This window comes from Homo sapiens, chromosome 1, assembly GCF_000001405.40.
Source record: "Homo sapiens chromosome 1, GRCh38.p14 Primary Assembly".
Taxonomy (NCBI): Eukaryota; Metazoa; Chordata; class Mammalia; order Primates; family Hominidae; genus Homo; species Homo sapiens.
In genome coordinates this window covers 70773064-70789905 of record NC_000001.11, presented here as the reverse complement: position 1 = coordinate 70789905, position 16842 = coordinate 70773064, and the positions used below count along the sequence as shown (strand labels likewise).

The 16842-nt window shown below is 39.1% G+C and overlaps 1 long non-coding RNA gene across 1 annotated transcript in view; it reads right to left on the bottom strand.

Annotated features, from left to right (window-relative positions):
- Nucleotides 1–3437: 3437 nt before the first annotated feature.
- LINC01788 (long intergenic non-protein coding RNA 1788) overlaps nucleotides 3438–16842 on the bottom strand; it is an 80016-nt gene continuing 66611 nt past the window's right edge. Inside the window, exons 6-7 of the long non-coding RNA NR_125938.1 lie at nucleotides 12211–12376; nucleotides 3438–4720 (exon numbers count right to left, since the gene is read on the bottom strand). This is a non-coding gene — a long non-coding RNA (long intergenic non-protein coding RNA 1788). The remainder of the gene's footprint in view (nucleotides 4721–12210; nucleotides 12377–16842) is intronic.

Below are 16842 nucleotides of genomic sequence, written 5' to 3'. Positions count from 1 at the left end.
AACATTTGTTTTCCCAAAAAGTCCCTACTAATGTCTCTTGGTGGATAGTTAGCAGTCTCTTTGAAGTCTGGTCTCCAGTGTCTTTTCTCCCATTTCTTCCTCCTCCCACCTTTCCTTTGGTCTTTTATTCCCTTCTATTCTTCCTTGCTTCATCACCTAATCCACAGTCTCATTTCTGTCCTGGAGAGGAGCTCCATCTTAGATGGTAGGTTTTACTTTCCACCTAGGAGTAGATTCAAGTGTTCAAAGTCTTAAGGGAGGAACATCTATAAGAAAAGCAACTCTTGCTAAATTAATTATACTTCCATAGCAGAGTTTCCATAGCATATTATGCTAGTGAAGTCTCTATTGCTTTCGTTTTCCTGTCATAGATGAGGAAGACAAGGGAAAAAAGACAAGGCTAGAAACTAGTGCAGAAAATTCCATTGTGCAACAAGAGCTCACCTTATGGAGATGGCAACTCAAGAACTCTACAAAGTTTTCTAAAACTGCTTCTCAAAGTTTAATGCACACAACAATTACCTGAGATCTTGTTAGCAAATTTTGTTTCAGTAGTTCTGGGGTGAAGCTTCAAGTTCTGCATTTCTAATAAACAACCAGGTGGTCCATGGGTCCACACCTTGAGTAGTCAATCTCTAAAAGAAAACGTTTCATTTTGGACCTCTACTTTACAGTCTACTGAAAGTAGTCTACTTTGCATTATGGTCTACTGAAAATACACTGTGTAAGGGAAAGAGCAAGAGGATTTGGGTTCATCTAGGACTGGGTTTGAAATCTGGCTCCGCTATTCCTTAAGAGACACTGGGCAAGGATTATTTTTAAAAATATAAATTTCCTAAGCTTCAGTATCATCTGGAATATGGGTATAATAATATCTGTCTTATAGGATTGCTATAAAAATTAACTTCTTTTAAGGAACTTTAGCATGGGGCAAAGCTTGATCCCTTCCCCTTTCTTTTCCCATTTCAAATTCTTCAAAATGGCCCGATTCAGCTTCAAATTCTGTTTCAAATTTTGTCTATTTCTATTCTTGAAAACTGAAAGCATATACACCCAGACAGCTTACTGTCTATATTAACACAATTTAACTTTTCAACCTGTGCATTAACCTGACTTAATTATTCCAGGAAATCCTTGCCCAGGAAGATGGAGTTGCAAATAACTGCTTATTTCAGAATCTTCAAAATTTATTTATCTGAAAAATCAATTCATTCTCTTTAAGTAAATAGCCTCTTCTCGAAACAATAGATTATTAAGCTGGGCCCAACAAATGATTATTTACTCTTAAAGACTCTTCAGTGTACTCCCTTTACTGTGTCCATTAATTATACATTATTATATTATAACATCTTTCAGTACCAATCAGACCACTTCACTGAAAGACATGCCTTAAAGTAGACTCTAAATCTTTACAAATGCCAGTTTTGATTCTTCCCTTGCAAAACACCACTAAGACTCCACCAAGGTAGTCAGTGGATTCCCTTACTACAGTAAGAAATAAACTTCTCTTTGCTTGATCAAACATGTGATTTTGCTGGTGTCTTGAGAGTTGGCAGTTGACAATCTCTTCTAATAAAACTATCATCCAGACAAACATACTTAATTACTTATTTCCTGGAGGTGGCATGCTTTTTAATATTCCATGCTTTTGCACAATCAATTTCTTTTTTCCTGGAATATCATCTTTTATTTAACCTTCAAGACTCATACTAAATGTTAGTCTCTCTGTGAAATATTTATTGAAACCCTTTAGCAATATAGATTTTTTCATGCTTCTGTTCTCCCATAGCATTGAGTAGGCCTTTTCCATCATACCCTATTATTTCCTGATTGCTTGGTTACACATTTTTCTTTCCCAAACACAATGTGCTCTTTAAAAATAGGGACTATGCCTTATCCACCTTTGTCACCAATGTCTTAAAGAATTTTAAAAAAAACTATTAGTTGATCAATAAATATTTGTTGAATGTTGAATGAAACACAGTTAGCCTGGATATTTAGAGGAAGAAAAATGGGTAAATAAATATTTGTTAAGAGAAACTTGAGCTTCTTTTCATAAGGATTTCCTTTGCATCTTCTTACCCTTTTTGTTTTAGGTAATCCTGAGAAATGTTACCTCTGAAGTCTACTACCCCTGAAATAGTAGCTCTCTGAGCCAGCAAAATAGGACCTTTTTGATGTCTCAAATCCTGTCAAAAAGGTGATTTCTCATTTCTTTCTCATCTAGTAATTATTGATGGCAAGTATGAGCATGCAGTTGGGTCAGTCCTTCTATCAGGGTAGCAGATAACTTTTATTCCCCCTTCAGGGAAATTTTACCTCCTCTGGCATCAGTCTGGATATAAATGTTGCTGGTTTCATGATCTGAAATTAAGAGTGAACATTTTGTTTAGCCCAATCAAGGCTGGTAGAAGGACAAACTTTTATAATGTGAAATTTATGACCCTGTGATGGCTGATAAAAACAATCCCTGGCATAGTTATGCTTCTATTTAAGTGTTAATTATCCCCTATGCACAGTGTGTACTCTTTTTGATAGCCACAATTCAACACTTAGGCTATTAAAGGCAGATTTATGCTATAGCAATAGAATATTTTTTATTTCCATCTAAACTGAAATCTAGAAGTTCCATAAAAGTGTAAGAGCTCATGTCATGGCTAACAGGTTTTGACAAGAGCTAAGTTAATATTTGTAGCAGTAAACCATCTCCTGGTTGACAGTTTGTTGAGACATCAGAGAAGTCTCTGAGGAGAAAAATTAAGTAAATCTAAATGGTACATTTGACCAACTATAAGCCTGGACTGACATTTTGCTCTAGCAAAAGTAAGCTGTTTGGAAAAGAGTGCAAAATTATATGTATCATATCTCAGTTTCTGATCATTTTAGATCATTTGAGGTATAAATATTTAATAAATATGTTTAATGTTCAGCAGTATGTGAACACTACTTTCATATCTCTCTCTTTTTGGCTGTCATCAAAAAATGAAAGAAATAACCTTCATTATAACATAAGCTAGTTAGCCCTCTGAGTACTCCATGTAACATTCGCTTCATACCATAATAACAATAAGCATTGTAACATATTTGTGTGAAGTCCCAATGATCTTGATATCTGGGAGGCTTGTGTTAATCAGATTTTTTCAGGAATGTAGGTAGCAACCATAATATTTCATTGTAAGTTTATTGTAATTTTTGCCATTATCATGCTTGACGTGTGTGATCCTTAAGTACTCCTGTGAAGTATTAATGTACCCATCTTACAGAGGAGAAGGGGACTCAAACAGAAGACGTGCCTTTTCGTAGGTCACACAGAACATGGCAGAGCTAGAGCCAGAACTCAGAACTCCTGTCTCCCAGAAACAGTCCCCTTTGTTCTACAATACACAGATCTCTGTTAATATATTTTAAAATGATTATAGAAGAGATGTTACAGACCCTTCACATAGAATTTGATCAATGTTTATTTTGAGGCAAGTGAACTAAGACAGCATTAATTTTAATTGCATTCTCCATTTGAGAACAGTAATCATGAAAAGAAATTAAAAGGCTGAGTTCAAGATCGATTTTCCAGTCTTTGTAGCAATCCCTGAAGCTTCAAAAAGCTTGCAGAAAGACTTTTTCCAGAGACTGTTTTGACTTCCTCATATTAGACTATTAACGACCATACTTAGTACTCAGTAGAATATTAATAATACTGTGCTTGAACTGAGACAATTTTTCTGTGGGTACTTCTACATTTTGAAGAGTATCAGGACAAATATGTGCCCATGCAGGGCATAACACAAATTGATGAAGTTGATTGGTAGTTTTCAAGCACTAGTATGTGCCAGGAACTATGCTGGACACTTATTTTATATATAATTTTTCAATTAATGTTCATAACAATCCTACATCCATTTCATGGGTATAAAAACAGACTCAGTGGAGTTAAGGAACCTGTCAAAATTCACAAGATGTTACATAACTGAGTCAACATTTGAACCTGGGTCTATCCAATTTCAATAATTCCACTTCAGTATGATGTTTAGTTCTTTTCAAACTCACAACAAAGGAAAAAATCTTTGCCTAGTCAGGTGGGGCCTACATTTAACCCGGATAACCTACATTTGGAACGTGGGAGAAATGCAATTTCTGTTTCCCCGTTCTCTCTTCCACATCTCTTTCTACACTTGCTGGCTACTATTTCTCACTCTTTCACCCCTTCCAGAGACTGACCAGAAGAAAGAAGCCATTAGAGAAAAAGAACACCATTGTACATGCCCAACACAATTGCAATCCAGTATAAGAGGCTCCCCTGGATTTGAATGATGTCCAGAGCTGACCTGTTCTACCATGAGACTCTTTAGTTGTTCTTTGTAGATCTGTCCAGTGGGGGTCTTTTCTATACCATCCTAGATACAGAAAATGTCTCCCTGCTGCCGGCCACTTACCCTGCCCCACCATCAGCCCTTAGGTTTTCAGTGGTCCAGAAGCTAATGGATCTTCTTTGACTCTCCAGCCAGTCCTCTTAAAAGCTTCTATTCTTGGAGTCCTCTTTTGATTTCCAAGAAACACATTAGCTCCCAGTTTGCTCTGCCTGGTGAAAATGCAGCTCACTCTCAATGCAACCATTTTTATCCTGTTGTCAGCAGACACAGCTGCAGCCACAGCCTCTTGTCTTTCATTTTCCTCTCAGGCTTCAGATGTTATTGAATTGGTTTTGTAGCTTTCTTCCTTTGACCTATTGTTAAATACATTACATAAGTAGAATTCATAATACTAATTTTTTTGTATATGAGGAATAAATTCTACCTGTTTTTCATGTAGTTTTTTTTAAGAATCTATTTGCTAATATCTCCTTTTGTAGCTTTGTGTCTCTGCTCATAATTAGAGAATAATTGATTAGTACTATTTTTTGGTTAGATTTTGCTAACTTTCTAAAATTATGTAGAAATGATCCCATCTGATTCCATGCTCTGGAAAATTTCTATAAAATGGAAGGCAACATCTCCTTGGATATTTTAAACACTTTCTCATAAAACTCACTATGTTAAGTGTGATCAATAGTCATTAATAGTATAATTCTTAGTGTTTCTCTTTGTATTATTATATTTAATTTCTATTGCTTGATTTATCAGTTTTTAAAGATACATGTGATTCCCAGTTATTGCAACAGATGAGGCAACAATAACAATAATGGAGTGTAATCTATTGTTATGTACTCTGATAATGCAATAATGTCAAACTAACAAGTAAATGGAAGCAGAGGGGGGAGACAAAAGGAAAAGTAGAGAAAATAGGAATTAGCCAAACACACACAAAAAAAAACATGTCCAACATCATTAGTAATCTGAAAAGTACAAAACAAACTCACAATGAGATAGTATTTTATATGCACCAAATTGGAAAATCTGAAAATATCTGATAATATTATGTTAGGCCAGGCACAGTGGCATGCACCTGTAGTTCCAGCTGCTTCAGAGGCTAAAGCAAGAAAATCATTTGAGCCCAGGAGTTCAAGGCTATTGTGCACTATGATCATGTGTATGAGTAGTCACTGCACTCTAGCCTGGACAACATAATGAGACTGTCTCTAAAAAAAATTAAAAATAAAAATAAAAATACTCAGTGTTGGCATGGATATGAAACAACTAGACATCTATGTCTTTGGGTAAAAATGTAAATTGGTACGCTTTGTAACAATACTTAAGTCTTTTTATGGGGATGTAAATCAATATAAAATGATAACAACAACTTATTTTTTAAATCACAAATGCACTCATTCTATGACACAGGGATTAAGCTCCCACAACTATTCCATAGAGAAACCCTTGCACATATAAATGGATAGAAATGCCATACAAAATACTCAAAGCAACATACTTTGTAATATCACAAAACTAGTGATATAGTTTGGATGTCTGTCTCCTCCAAATCACACGTTGAAATGTGACTCCTAATGTTGAAGGTGGGGCCCAGTAGGAGGTGTTTGGGTGATGGGAGTGGATCCCTCATGAATTGCTTAGTGCCCTCCCTGCAGTAATGTGTGAGTTTTCACTCTATTCACAAGAGCTGGTTGTTTAAAATGAGACTGGCACCTCCTCCTCTCTCTCGTGCTTTCTTTCTTGCCATGTGACACACCTGCTCCCCCTTCACCTTCTGCTATGATTGGAAGCTTCCTGAGGCTCTTATCAGAAGCAGATTCTGGGGCCATGTTTCTTGTACAGTCTGCAGAACCATGAGCCAAATAAACATATTTTCTTTAGAAATTACCCAGCCTCAGGTATTCCTGTATAGCAATGCAAAATGGACTAATATAACTAGAAACAACTCAAATGTTAATTAATGGAAGAAAGACTAAAAAATATTGTATATAACACTATATATTATACGTTGTACTTTAACAGTGAAAATGAATGAAATACAACCATATGAAAAAACAGGCTTACATCTCTTAATGTTGAGTACAAAGGAGATTTGGGGTATGTGTGAAAGTTTGTGTACAGTATGAGACCACTCATACCGCTTTTTAAAATACAAAAATAAGCACTATGTCATTTGACATAGAAATGTATGTGGTAAAATGCTAAAGTAAGAAAATTATAAACTCGGCTGGGGGCAGTGACTCACGCCCGTAATCCCAGTGCTCTGGGAGGTCGAGGTGGGCAGATCACCTGAAGTTGGGAGTTCAAGACCAGCCTGGCCAACATGGTGAAACCCTGTCCCTACTAAAAAATACAAAATTAGCTGGGCATGGTGGTGGGTGCCTGTAATCCCAGCTACTCAGGGGACTGGGGCAGGTGAATCATTTGAACCTGGGAGGGGGAGGCTGCAGTGAGCTGCGATTGTGCCACTGCACTCCAGCCTGGGTGACAGACTGAGACTCCATCACAAAAAAAAAAAAAAAAAAGAAAAGAAAATGATAAACTCAAAGTTGAGAATAGTACTTTCTTTGGAGGGGGAAGGATATACTAAAGTGTACAGAGGTTTGAAAGGTAATAAAAGTATTTATTTTCTTAAGATGGGTGATGGGCATTTGGAGCTTATTTTCTCTTTATTCTTTATAAATATTTTATACATTATTTAAATTTACTTAACTGTCTTAGTCCTTTGAGCTGCTATAACAGAGTACCATAGATTGGGTGGTTTATAAGCAACAGCAATTTATTTTCACATTTCTGGAGGCTAGGAAGTTCAAGACCAAGGTGCCAGCAGATTCAGTGTCTGCTGAGAACCTGTACCCTGGTTCATAGACAGTGTCTTCTTGCTGCATCCTCACATGGTGGAAGGGACAAGGGCACATCTGTCATCTCTTTTATAAAGGTGCTAATGCCATTTATGAGGGCTTCACTTTCATGACCTAATCACCTTCCAAAAGCCTCAACTTCAAATACCATCACACTGGGGATTAGGTCACAACACATGAATTTGGTGGGATATAAACTTTCAGTCTACATTCAACTTTAAATGTAAATGATATACTAATTCACTAAAAACACAAAAATTTTCAATCTTATTGGTAAAAAAAATGCAAATTAAATATATGTGTTTTAACTTTCATCAGCACAGATTAACCAAAAATATGATGTTTGTAAGTGCAGTTGAAAATAATTCTTTTCTACACTGCTAATGAAAAAGTATATCAATCATTTGGGAGGAAGCAATTTCAGAATATCTTTTGACTCAGAAAGTCTACTTTAAGAATATTAACTAAACAAATAATCAGAGCCACACATACAAATTTATATTAAAGATATTCAGTATAGTAGAAAGATAGTGAACCCAACCTAAATGTCCTATAGTAGAGAATTGCATCAATTACAGGACTGCCTAAAGGAGCATCTGGAACATAATAGGTGCTTAGTAAACGATTACTGAATGAACCAGTGAATAAACATATGTACATATTTATATGTATGTGCACAAAATATTAACAGTGATTATCTTTGGGAGAAGAGCTTATGAGTGATTTTTAAAATTTTACTTTTCTACATTTTTCAAAAATTTTTGCTATGAAGATATATTACTCTAAGAAGCCGAAAAAAAAATGTTAAGCTCTTGCTTACTTCAAAGCAAAATTTGCCCCTATATCTTCTATCTTCTGGAAATGTACCACATCTAACACCACCCTTCTGACATAAATTTATTTTAATACATTGAATAGCTATTCTTTCTCTTCCTGACATTCTCTTCCCCACCATAGTCCCAACACCATTGCTTGAATATTTAAAATTCATGTTTCTTCACTATCTTGATTGCTTTTGTTAATCTCTTTTGTTTCTATGATGAAGTTAAGGTCACTAGGCAATGGTTCTCTCATCTTAATAGCAAGTTCAAAACCAGGGAACAACTTAGTTCTTTCCATTTCAAACTACTTAGTATCAGTTAAACGGGATCTTCATAAGTTAAATCCTTCCTGGATTCAAAATATCTTTTCTAATGAAAGAAATGCGGTTGGGGTGGGAGACAGGGTTTATATATCCTTTCTACATATGAATTTATATCTCTATAGATGTTTCCTATGAATTCTGTATTTATATGTCCATCTACATACTTAACATATTTTCTTCGATGTCTCAGGCATCACACACTCATATATTCAAAACCAAATTCATGATTTCCACCCAAAACCACTTGGTTCCTCCTCTTGTGCTTAGTACAAATTGAGAAATAGAATAAAGAAAGGATAGATGGAAACCAAATACGGCTGCTTGGCATTCTGAGGAATCCAAGCTGCCAGTCTTCCATATCTTGTTATGGTGCCGTCTGTGTCCTTCTCAGCTGCCTAGCAGAAAACAGCCTGCAGAATCTTGTGTGTTTGGTGCTTCTACTAAGAGGTAAAAAGCATCACTTCTGCTCACATGTTATTGTCCAAAGTGAAGTCCCATGGCCATGCCTAATTTCAGGGAGCCATATGCCCAGAAAGAAGGATGAATGGGGACTCTTGATGATCACTTCCATAAGCAGCAACTTAGATAATCTCATTCTGTTTACTTGGTTTGGTCCAACGTACTTTCATTCTCCCCACACTTACTATCTTCTTCCTGATTCCCACTCTGAGTCAAGGCCTAGGAGATGATGTATGTTGAGGCAAGACGAGGCCCAGGTAGCATCTTCACCTGGTTTTACCCTTTTTCAATCTTTCTCCAGTTCCTCACACAGCACTGAAAGGACTTTTTTGTCTTCTTCATGGGGCTGGAACTTCAGTGATTCCATTGAGGAATACAGTCCTCCCTGTTCTATAGTTTATGCTCTCGTCAATCCTCTAAGCTTTAGTGTCTGATATTTAAAGGAATATTTTTAGGATTCAGAAAATCTATTTCTTAAGTAAAACTAGCTTTCAGGACTACTGCTCTAAATGTACTTAAAAGTCTAATTTGAAACCCAAACTCAAGTAATATCCCTTTCTTCTAGGCAAGAACTGCATTCTTTCTGAATAAAATGAATGTAATTCGTTTAATGTGTGAGAAGTTTTAGGACAACAAAATTTAGAGAGAATTGAGAAGACAACAGATACTGTTTTTTTTTAAATGATATTTCTGCTGCCCCTGTGTCTGCTACTGAGCTACAAGATTCATGAGGGCAGAAATCAAATTGTTTGGCTTGAAATTGTTTAGCCAAAATATTATTTGAATAAATAGAGCGATGAATGAACAAAACAGTAGATCCAGAAGATTGTTACTTACATAAGTACGTAATTTTGGATAAAACAGAGAAGAAAACACTTAAACTTACAATATAATCTAAGGTTCTAAAGTGAGTCACAATATATAAAAGACTGACAAAGTTCCCTGGATAAGTAGGAAACTCACTGTAGTGAAGAAAAGAATGGAGATGCACAGAAGCACAGTTGGGACACTGGGTGCAAGATCAGAGGAGAGGGATTCTTTTCAATGAGACACAGTAAGAACCATTGAAATATTTTCTGACCCAGCACGGGGGATTCGTCGCAGGCTCCTTGAGAGGGATGCTGCAAAATATAAAACAGCAGCTTGCTTACCAGGATCCACCTAGAGAGATGCACTCTCTGCAACCAATCATGCGGACCCTGGCTTAGAGATGCTTCCTCAGTTTTAGGGCCGTGAGTCATTGGCAGCAGAGCACAACAGTCATGGATGGAGAATGGTGATGACCAAGACCACAGCCATATTGTTCCTACCACACTTTTGAGGTCAAGAATTGAGTCTTACTCGTTTTGAATCAATGAGTAAGTCCCACTAGGGACTGCACAGGAAATGCAGAGAGATTTGGAATCTTTCTGTGGGGAGTTTAGGGGCCAGAGATCATCAAGATTATTATCTACACTTTAAATTGTCCCCAAGGCTTGAGAGACCTCAGCAAGCAAAGGTCACATGTTGAAGCGAATTGCTACATCTTAGCAAATCTTCTCTCACACACTGCATAATTCAGATGAACAAATAGTTCCCCTTGTGAGAGGGAAATTTTATAGAACTTTTTCAGACTGTCCTGAGAAAGGGCCGTATGACTGCTCACTGGGATTTGGAATGAATTTCTCAGGTTTCATCTCTTATCAGCTACCCGAAGATCATCTGGTAAGATAAGTATTAAAACTTTAATAGTATAAATCTGGCACTGTCTAAAATCAGCATGGGTGAAATTTCAAATTTCGATCTATCCCTACATGATAAAGATTTCATTTGAAGCCCCAAATATTAGTACTCTGTTGTGACATCATTGGTAAAAACTGTCCAGGATTTGAAATTGGAAGATTCTTTGTGTCTAAATGGTCATGGCCATTAAAATTTTTAAAAATGTCCAGCTGGTTCCAATCATGAAGTTAGAATTTCTCTCTCTGGTTCCCAGAAGCCTATACTGGCATATTTATTTCATGCTTGCCTATGAAGAATTCAGCTTTATTTTTATGCAAGTTAATTTTCTCCTTATGGAGTCATCATTAATATAAATAGCAATATAAATGGCAATTTATGTTAATGATGACTCCATAAGGAGAGAAAGTATACATTCAGTAACTTTCTAATCTACAAATTTGTCATCTCTTTAAAATAATAACAAGTACCAGAAGATATCTGAAAGGTGTCCCAGAATATAATTTTTTAAAGGGTAATTAAGTATGACAAGTAACTATAAAGGCGATTATAATTCAGTTCATTTGGATTTGAGTTGCCAGATTTAACAAATAAAAATATACGATGTCCAGTTAAATGTGTATGTTGTACATGTACATCCAACATGGAGCCTGGTCATTGGAGGTGCCCTGGCAATTTTTCTAAGTCCACCTACAAGGGTCAAGACTGACTAAGAACATCCTTTCACTTAAAAAAAATTATAGTTTATCTTAAAATCACATTTAACTGAGTATCTTCTACTTTTATCTGGCATTTCTAATTTGGAGGAACTGGCTGCTTGCCATGATGCTAAAAATATTACTGTAATTTTTCCATCTTGAATTATCTTTATGTCATTCAGCTTATTTATAAGAGAAAAAAGTAAATTTACTTGTACCAGAAAATATCAGTTGAATAAGATCACCCTGGATTTTACTCTCCTGGCATTTTCCTTCACATAATTTTGAAATCAGTGTTGGTTGGAGAAGAGGATTTGTTTTGGAGTATTTTGGGGTGGGAGAGTTCAGGATGCAGTCAATGGAACCATTTAGGAAAAATTTCCCAGCATATTACAGGGCCATATTCTTGCCAGCACACAGCTCTTCACTCTAGTCATCGAATGTTCCCAGCAAGAGGAGTCATAATTTAGGTTCACTGACTTACTTCCACTTACATCCTGGAAATTCAGAGCTTTGTGTCTTTACAGTGGCCTAGGCCTGTACTTGATTGAGGACAGGATTAAATGTTTTCATTTCATCAATAGGTTCAGAGGGTTAGATCAATTTAATAATATGTCACATAGTTATAGGGGAGATATGAACAAATTGCAAACCTGTTGAATTCTTAAAGAGCAGGGAGTACTGTTTAGAGAATGTGGTGCCTTCAGTTAGTTTCATTATTTGTAATAATAAAAGCCACAGTTTATTCAGCTATTAGTATGTTATGGGCACAGGATAAATGATCTAGAGTAATTATTTCCCTTACCCACACAACATTCTCCTCAGATAGGTCTTATCATCTCCATTTTATAAGTGAGGATTAATCTGTCATCCCTGAGTCATGCAATTGTCAAAAACATAACTGAATTTTAAACCAAGCTCTGATGCTAAAGCTTATATCTTAACCACTATGTTGTATTTCTCACCAATTATGTTTGTGCGTTGATTTTGTCTTAAAGAATGAGATGTCTGCTAGCAAAGCTCTCATAATAAATCCCTCTACCTTCACTCCAAGTTACAACTTCTTCCCCAAAATGGCAGACACATTGAAGGTTTGCTCACTTGAAACTCAAAACACATTTGTCCAAGGAGCTAGGGAAAATGAAACAGAGTAAATATTTTTCTGCCTGAAATAAATCACATTTCATATCAATTGATGGGTCCGACACAAGACAGGTGAGCCCCAGCATTGGGGCTTAGCCCAGAAGCGTTCTTGGTTTCACTCAGAAAAGAATTCCAGGGAAAACTGGTGTTGTTATATAGCAATCTTTTATTAAAGGGTACTGCTCCTTGTGAAGTAGGGCTAACTCATAGGCAGTGCACCCAGGGGCTGCAATGTATGGGTTGTTGGCAACTGTATGGTTACTCACCTCTACTCGCTTTCAATTACATGCAAATTAAGGGGCAGGTTAATGCAAATTGAGGGACGGGTTATTTAGAACTTTCTAGGAAAGGGGCAGTAATTTCCAGGCCATTGCTATGGAATAAAGTCATAGCTTCTGGGTCACTGTCATGGCATTTTTTATTTATTTATTTATTTATTTATTTATTTATTTATTTATTTTTTGAGATGGAGTCTCACTCTGTCGCCCAGGCTGGAGTGCAGTGGTGCAGTGCCGGCTCAGTGCAACCTCTGCCTCCTGGGTTCAAGCGATTGTCCTGCCTCAGCCTTCTGAGTAGCTGGGACTACAGGCGCATGCCATCACACCCAGCTAATTTTTGCATTTTTAGTAGGGACAGGGTTTCACCGTGTTAGCCAGGATGGTCTCGATCTCCTGACCTCATGATCCACCCACCTCGGCCTCCCAAAGTGCTGGGATTACAGGTGTGAGCCACCACCTCCGGCCTGTCATGGCATTTATAAACCGTCATGGTGCTGGTGGGAATGTCTTATGCTAACGAGCAATGAGGGCAGCTAGGGATTGCTTTTATCGCCATCTGCTCGTTCCTGCCACTTTTTTCACTTCATCCTTTATGGGTGAGATCCTGTTTTGGTCAGCAGGGTTGTGACCAGAAAACAAGTCCTGCTGGTCTCCTTCATTCTTCTCTCAGAGATTAGAGACTCCTTAATCTTAAGGGGACCGCAGAAGGGAAGACGTCCGTCTTCTGTAACTGCTTCTTGCTGATTCTATGGGCATAGACTCTTACTCCTTCTATTGGAGGAGTAAAAAATCTCTGGATACCTGATGTAAGGGGCCCAACACCAGGATGTTTTTGTTTTCTGGGTAAGAAGACAGAATGGGTTGGAAGCTTTGTGCCAGCATCATCTTCATGTGGAATTGTTGTAGTCTAGAAGATACAAACTTAACTGAGAGGTTAAACAAGCAAGGGCCAAAAATTAGTAATAATAAAGTAGTTATCAAAGGTCTTAGGAAAGATAAAAACCAGATGAGAATAATAGATGTGGTTTATTGTTGCATATGCTCTTCCTTGTCATGTTATTTATTTGTGTGTTTGCAAAACAATAGCTTTAAGTCTTCTAGGGGTTCACAAATGTAGGGTGTGGGGTCTTCCTCTTATACCTGTGGGGAGTCACAAGAAACAGGTTTAATCCTGGACAGGTGTCCCCAGCTAGTGATTTGCTGAAGCTTAACAGCAGTGGGGGTATTTAACAATAGCTGATAGGGGTGTTTTGGTTGTAATTGATTTTCAAGGGTTTCTTTTTTTTTTTTTAATGAAGTCTTGCTCTGTCGCGCAGGCTGGAGTGCAGTGGCACCATCTCGGCTCACTACAGCCTTCGCCTCCTGGGTTCAAGTGATTCTCCTGCCTCAGCCTCCTGAGTAGCTGGGACTACAGGCATTCACCACCACGCCTGGCTAATTTTTTTGTATTTTTAGTAGAGATGAGGTTTCACCATATTGTTCAGGCTGGTATCGAACTCCTGACCTCGTGATTCACCTGCCTCAGCCTCCCAAAGTGCTGGGATTACAGGCGTGAGCCACCGTGCCAGGCCTGGAATTTTTTTTTTTTTAAGTCTTTAGTAAGACTAAGTCTTCCAGTTAAACAAGGGAGTTTTTTGTTTTTGTTTTTGTTTTTCATTTGGAAGAAAGGGCAATATTTTATTTTAATTTCGAAAGGCCTTTTGATCCTGGCCTAAATTTAAATTTGGGGAGTAAGCATGGCGAAGCATGTCTGACCCCCTATTTCCTGTCATGGTTTGAGTTAGTTTTTCAGGTTTCTTTGGGATTTCCTTTGGCCACGGGACTTAGAGCCAAAAGACTGATAGCCAATTAAACTTTTTTAGACCATATGGAAATGGACGTGGGCAGGCACTCATTAGCCCTTAAAATTTGTTATGCAATATAAGAGTCAAAAACTAAAAGCCAAAAATAAGGTTCTATATTAAGAAAAACGAATAGGCGGGTGGCCAAGATAGCCAAGTAGAAGCAGCTAGTGTGCATGTCTCTCATGGAAAGGTACAAAGGGGTAAACAGCACCTTCAACTGAAACATCCAAATATTCACATTGGGACTAATCAAGGAAACAACTTGACCCACGGAGAATGAAGAAAAGCAAGACAGGATGATGCCCCATTTGGGAGCAACACGAAACCAGAGGACCCTCCCCACTCCCAGGGAAGCAGTGAGTGAATGTACTACCTCAGGAAACCATGCTTCTCCCATGGATCTTTGCAACACTCAGGTCAGGAGATCTCCCTGTGAACCCACTCCACCAGGGCCTTCCGACTGAGAGACTTACATGGAGTCTCAGCATAGCAGCCGCTCAGGTATACATGGAGACTCAGGAGCCTTAGACACTCAGGCTTTCCAGCAAAGTAGCTGCAGCCCAGCCAAGTGGGCTCCCATACATACCCCTAGGAAAGATGCTGAATCCGGGGGGCTGAGCAGCGACAGTCTGCAGACCCCACTTCCATGGCACCTCACAGGATAAGACCCACTGGCTTGGAATTCCAGCCAGCCACCAGTAGGCAGGGTTACTCCTCCCTGAGATGGAACTCCCAGGAGAAGGAGTGGACTGCCCTCTTTGCCATTTGGGTGACTTAGCTCTCTAGTTTTTGGGCTTTGGAGAGTCTGAGCTGACCAGGGGCAGAAGTGGTCCTCCAGCACAGCACAACTGCTCTACCAAAATGTGGCCAGACTGCTTTGTTAAGCAGGTCCCTGATCCCATTCCTCCTCACTGGGTGGGCCCTCTAGTCACCCCTGCCTGTGTTCTCCAGCCAAGAGAGATTTGAAAACTCTCTGGGACAGAGCTCCCAGAGGAATGGGCAGGCCGCCATCTTTGCTGTTTGGGTGACTTAGCTGTTCTAGCCTTTGAGCTTTGGAGTGTTCGAGGTGACCAGGGATTGAGGCAGACTCCAGCACAGCAGAACTGCTCTACCAAAATGTGACCAGACTTCTCTTTGGGTGGGTCTCCGATCTCATTCCTCCTCACTGGATGGGACTTCCCAACCAGTCTTCAGCCACATCCTACAGGTGTGTTTGGCTGGCAACAGACCTGTACCTCCCTAGGATGAAGCTCCCAGAGGGAGAAGCAGGCTGCCCTCTTTTCTATTTCTCAGCCTTTACAGGTGAACCCTCCAGGAACTGGAAAATATGAGATGACTAGAGACTGCAACAGGCCCCAAGCATACTGCAGCAGCCCTATAGAAAAGGGGCCAGGGTGTTACATGGGTGCCTGTTCCCTTATCTCCTCAATAGGCAGGTGTTCCAGGCCTAGGCCTCCAGCCACATGCTGTCAGAGCTATCAAGCCAGTGGTAACTCAGCAACTCCCTGGACAGAGCCTCCAGGGGCAACTGAATGCCTTTCTACCACTGTCTCCGCAGTGGAACTGCCCTTGCCACCATCAGACTAATGAAGGAGAAAAGACCCTAAGTGCCTTATCCACACCTCCAACAAGCTGCAGCTGACCCAAGGAGATGAGGCCAATCTGTCTCCCCTGGGTCCCAAACACCTCCCACTGCTCATCACCGGACAGGAAACCTGTGACTTGGGCCCACAGCACAGACCCTCCATTCTGGGCTGATTGCACTGAGTGATTGCCGACCTGCATCTCTCTGGGGTGGAGCCTCCAAGAAACAAGCAAATGACCCTTGGTTATAGCCACTACTAAGGTCCCTTCCTCTGCTGCCTCAGAGTTGAGGAAGAAACACTGAGATCACCCCAGAGCTGCAGTGGGCAGCACAGGAGTCCCAAGCCACAATCTACAGCCAGCACTCAAGGGGGAAAGAAACCCACACTTTCAGAGCATTGAGAGAGAACATGGCTGCAACTGTCAGGAAACATAGAGGAGCTACACAACTGAGCTAGAGTCTACCAACTGACCAGTCAGCCTAAGTGCCACCTGCTGGATCATTCCCCAAAGCTTCAATACCAAAAATACCTTGCTAACGTACCAGCCTCTGAAACCAGAGACAAGAAGTCAGTTTCAAGTGAAGACCCTGCACAAAGCCTCAGCCCAGTGAAAACATTTAGAACAGAAGTCTGTTGACAGTACTCAATCTACACTGCACTTAAAGGAACACCCACATGCAGAGATTAGAAAAAAAAAAAAAAAAAAAAACCTCAAAAGACCAGAGTGTTTTATATGTTCTCCAACT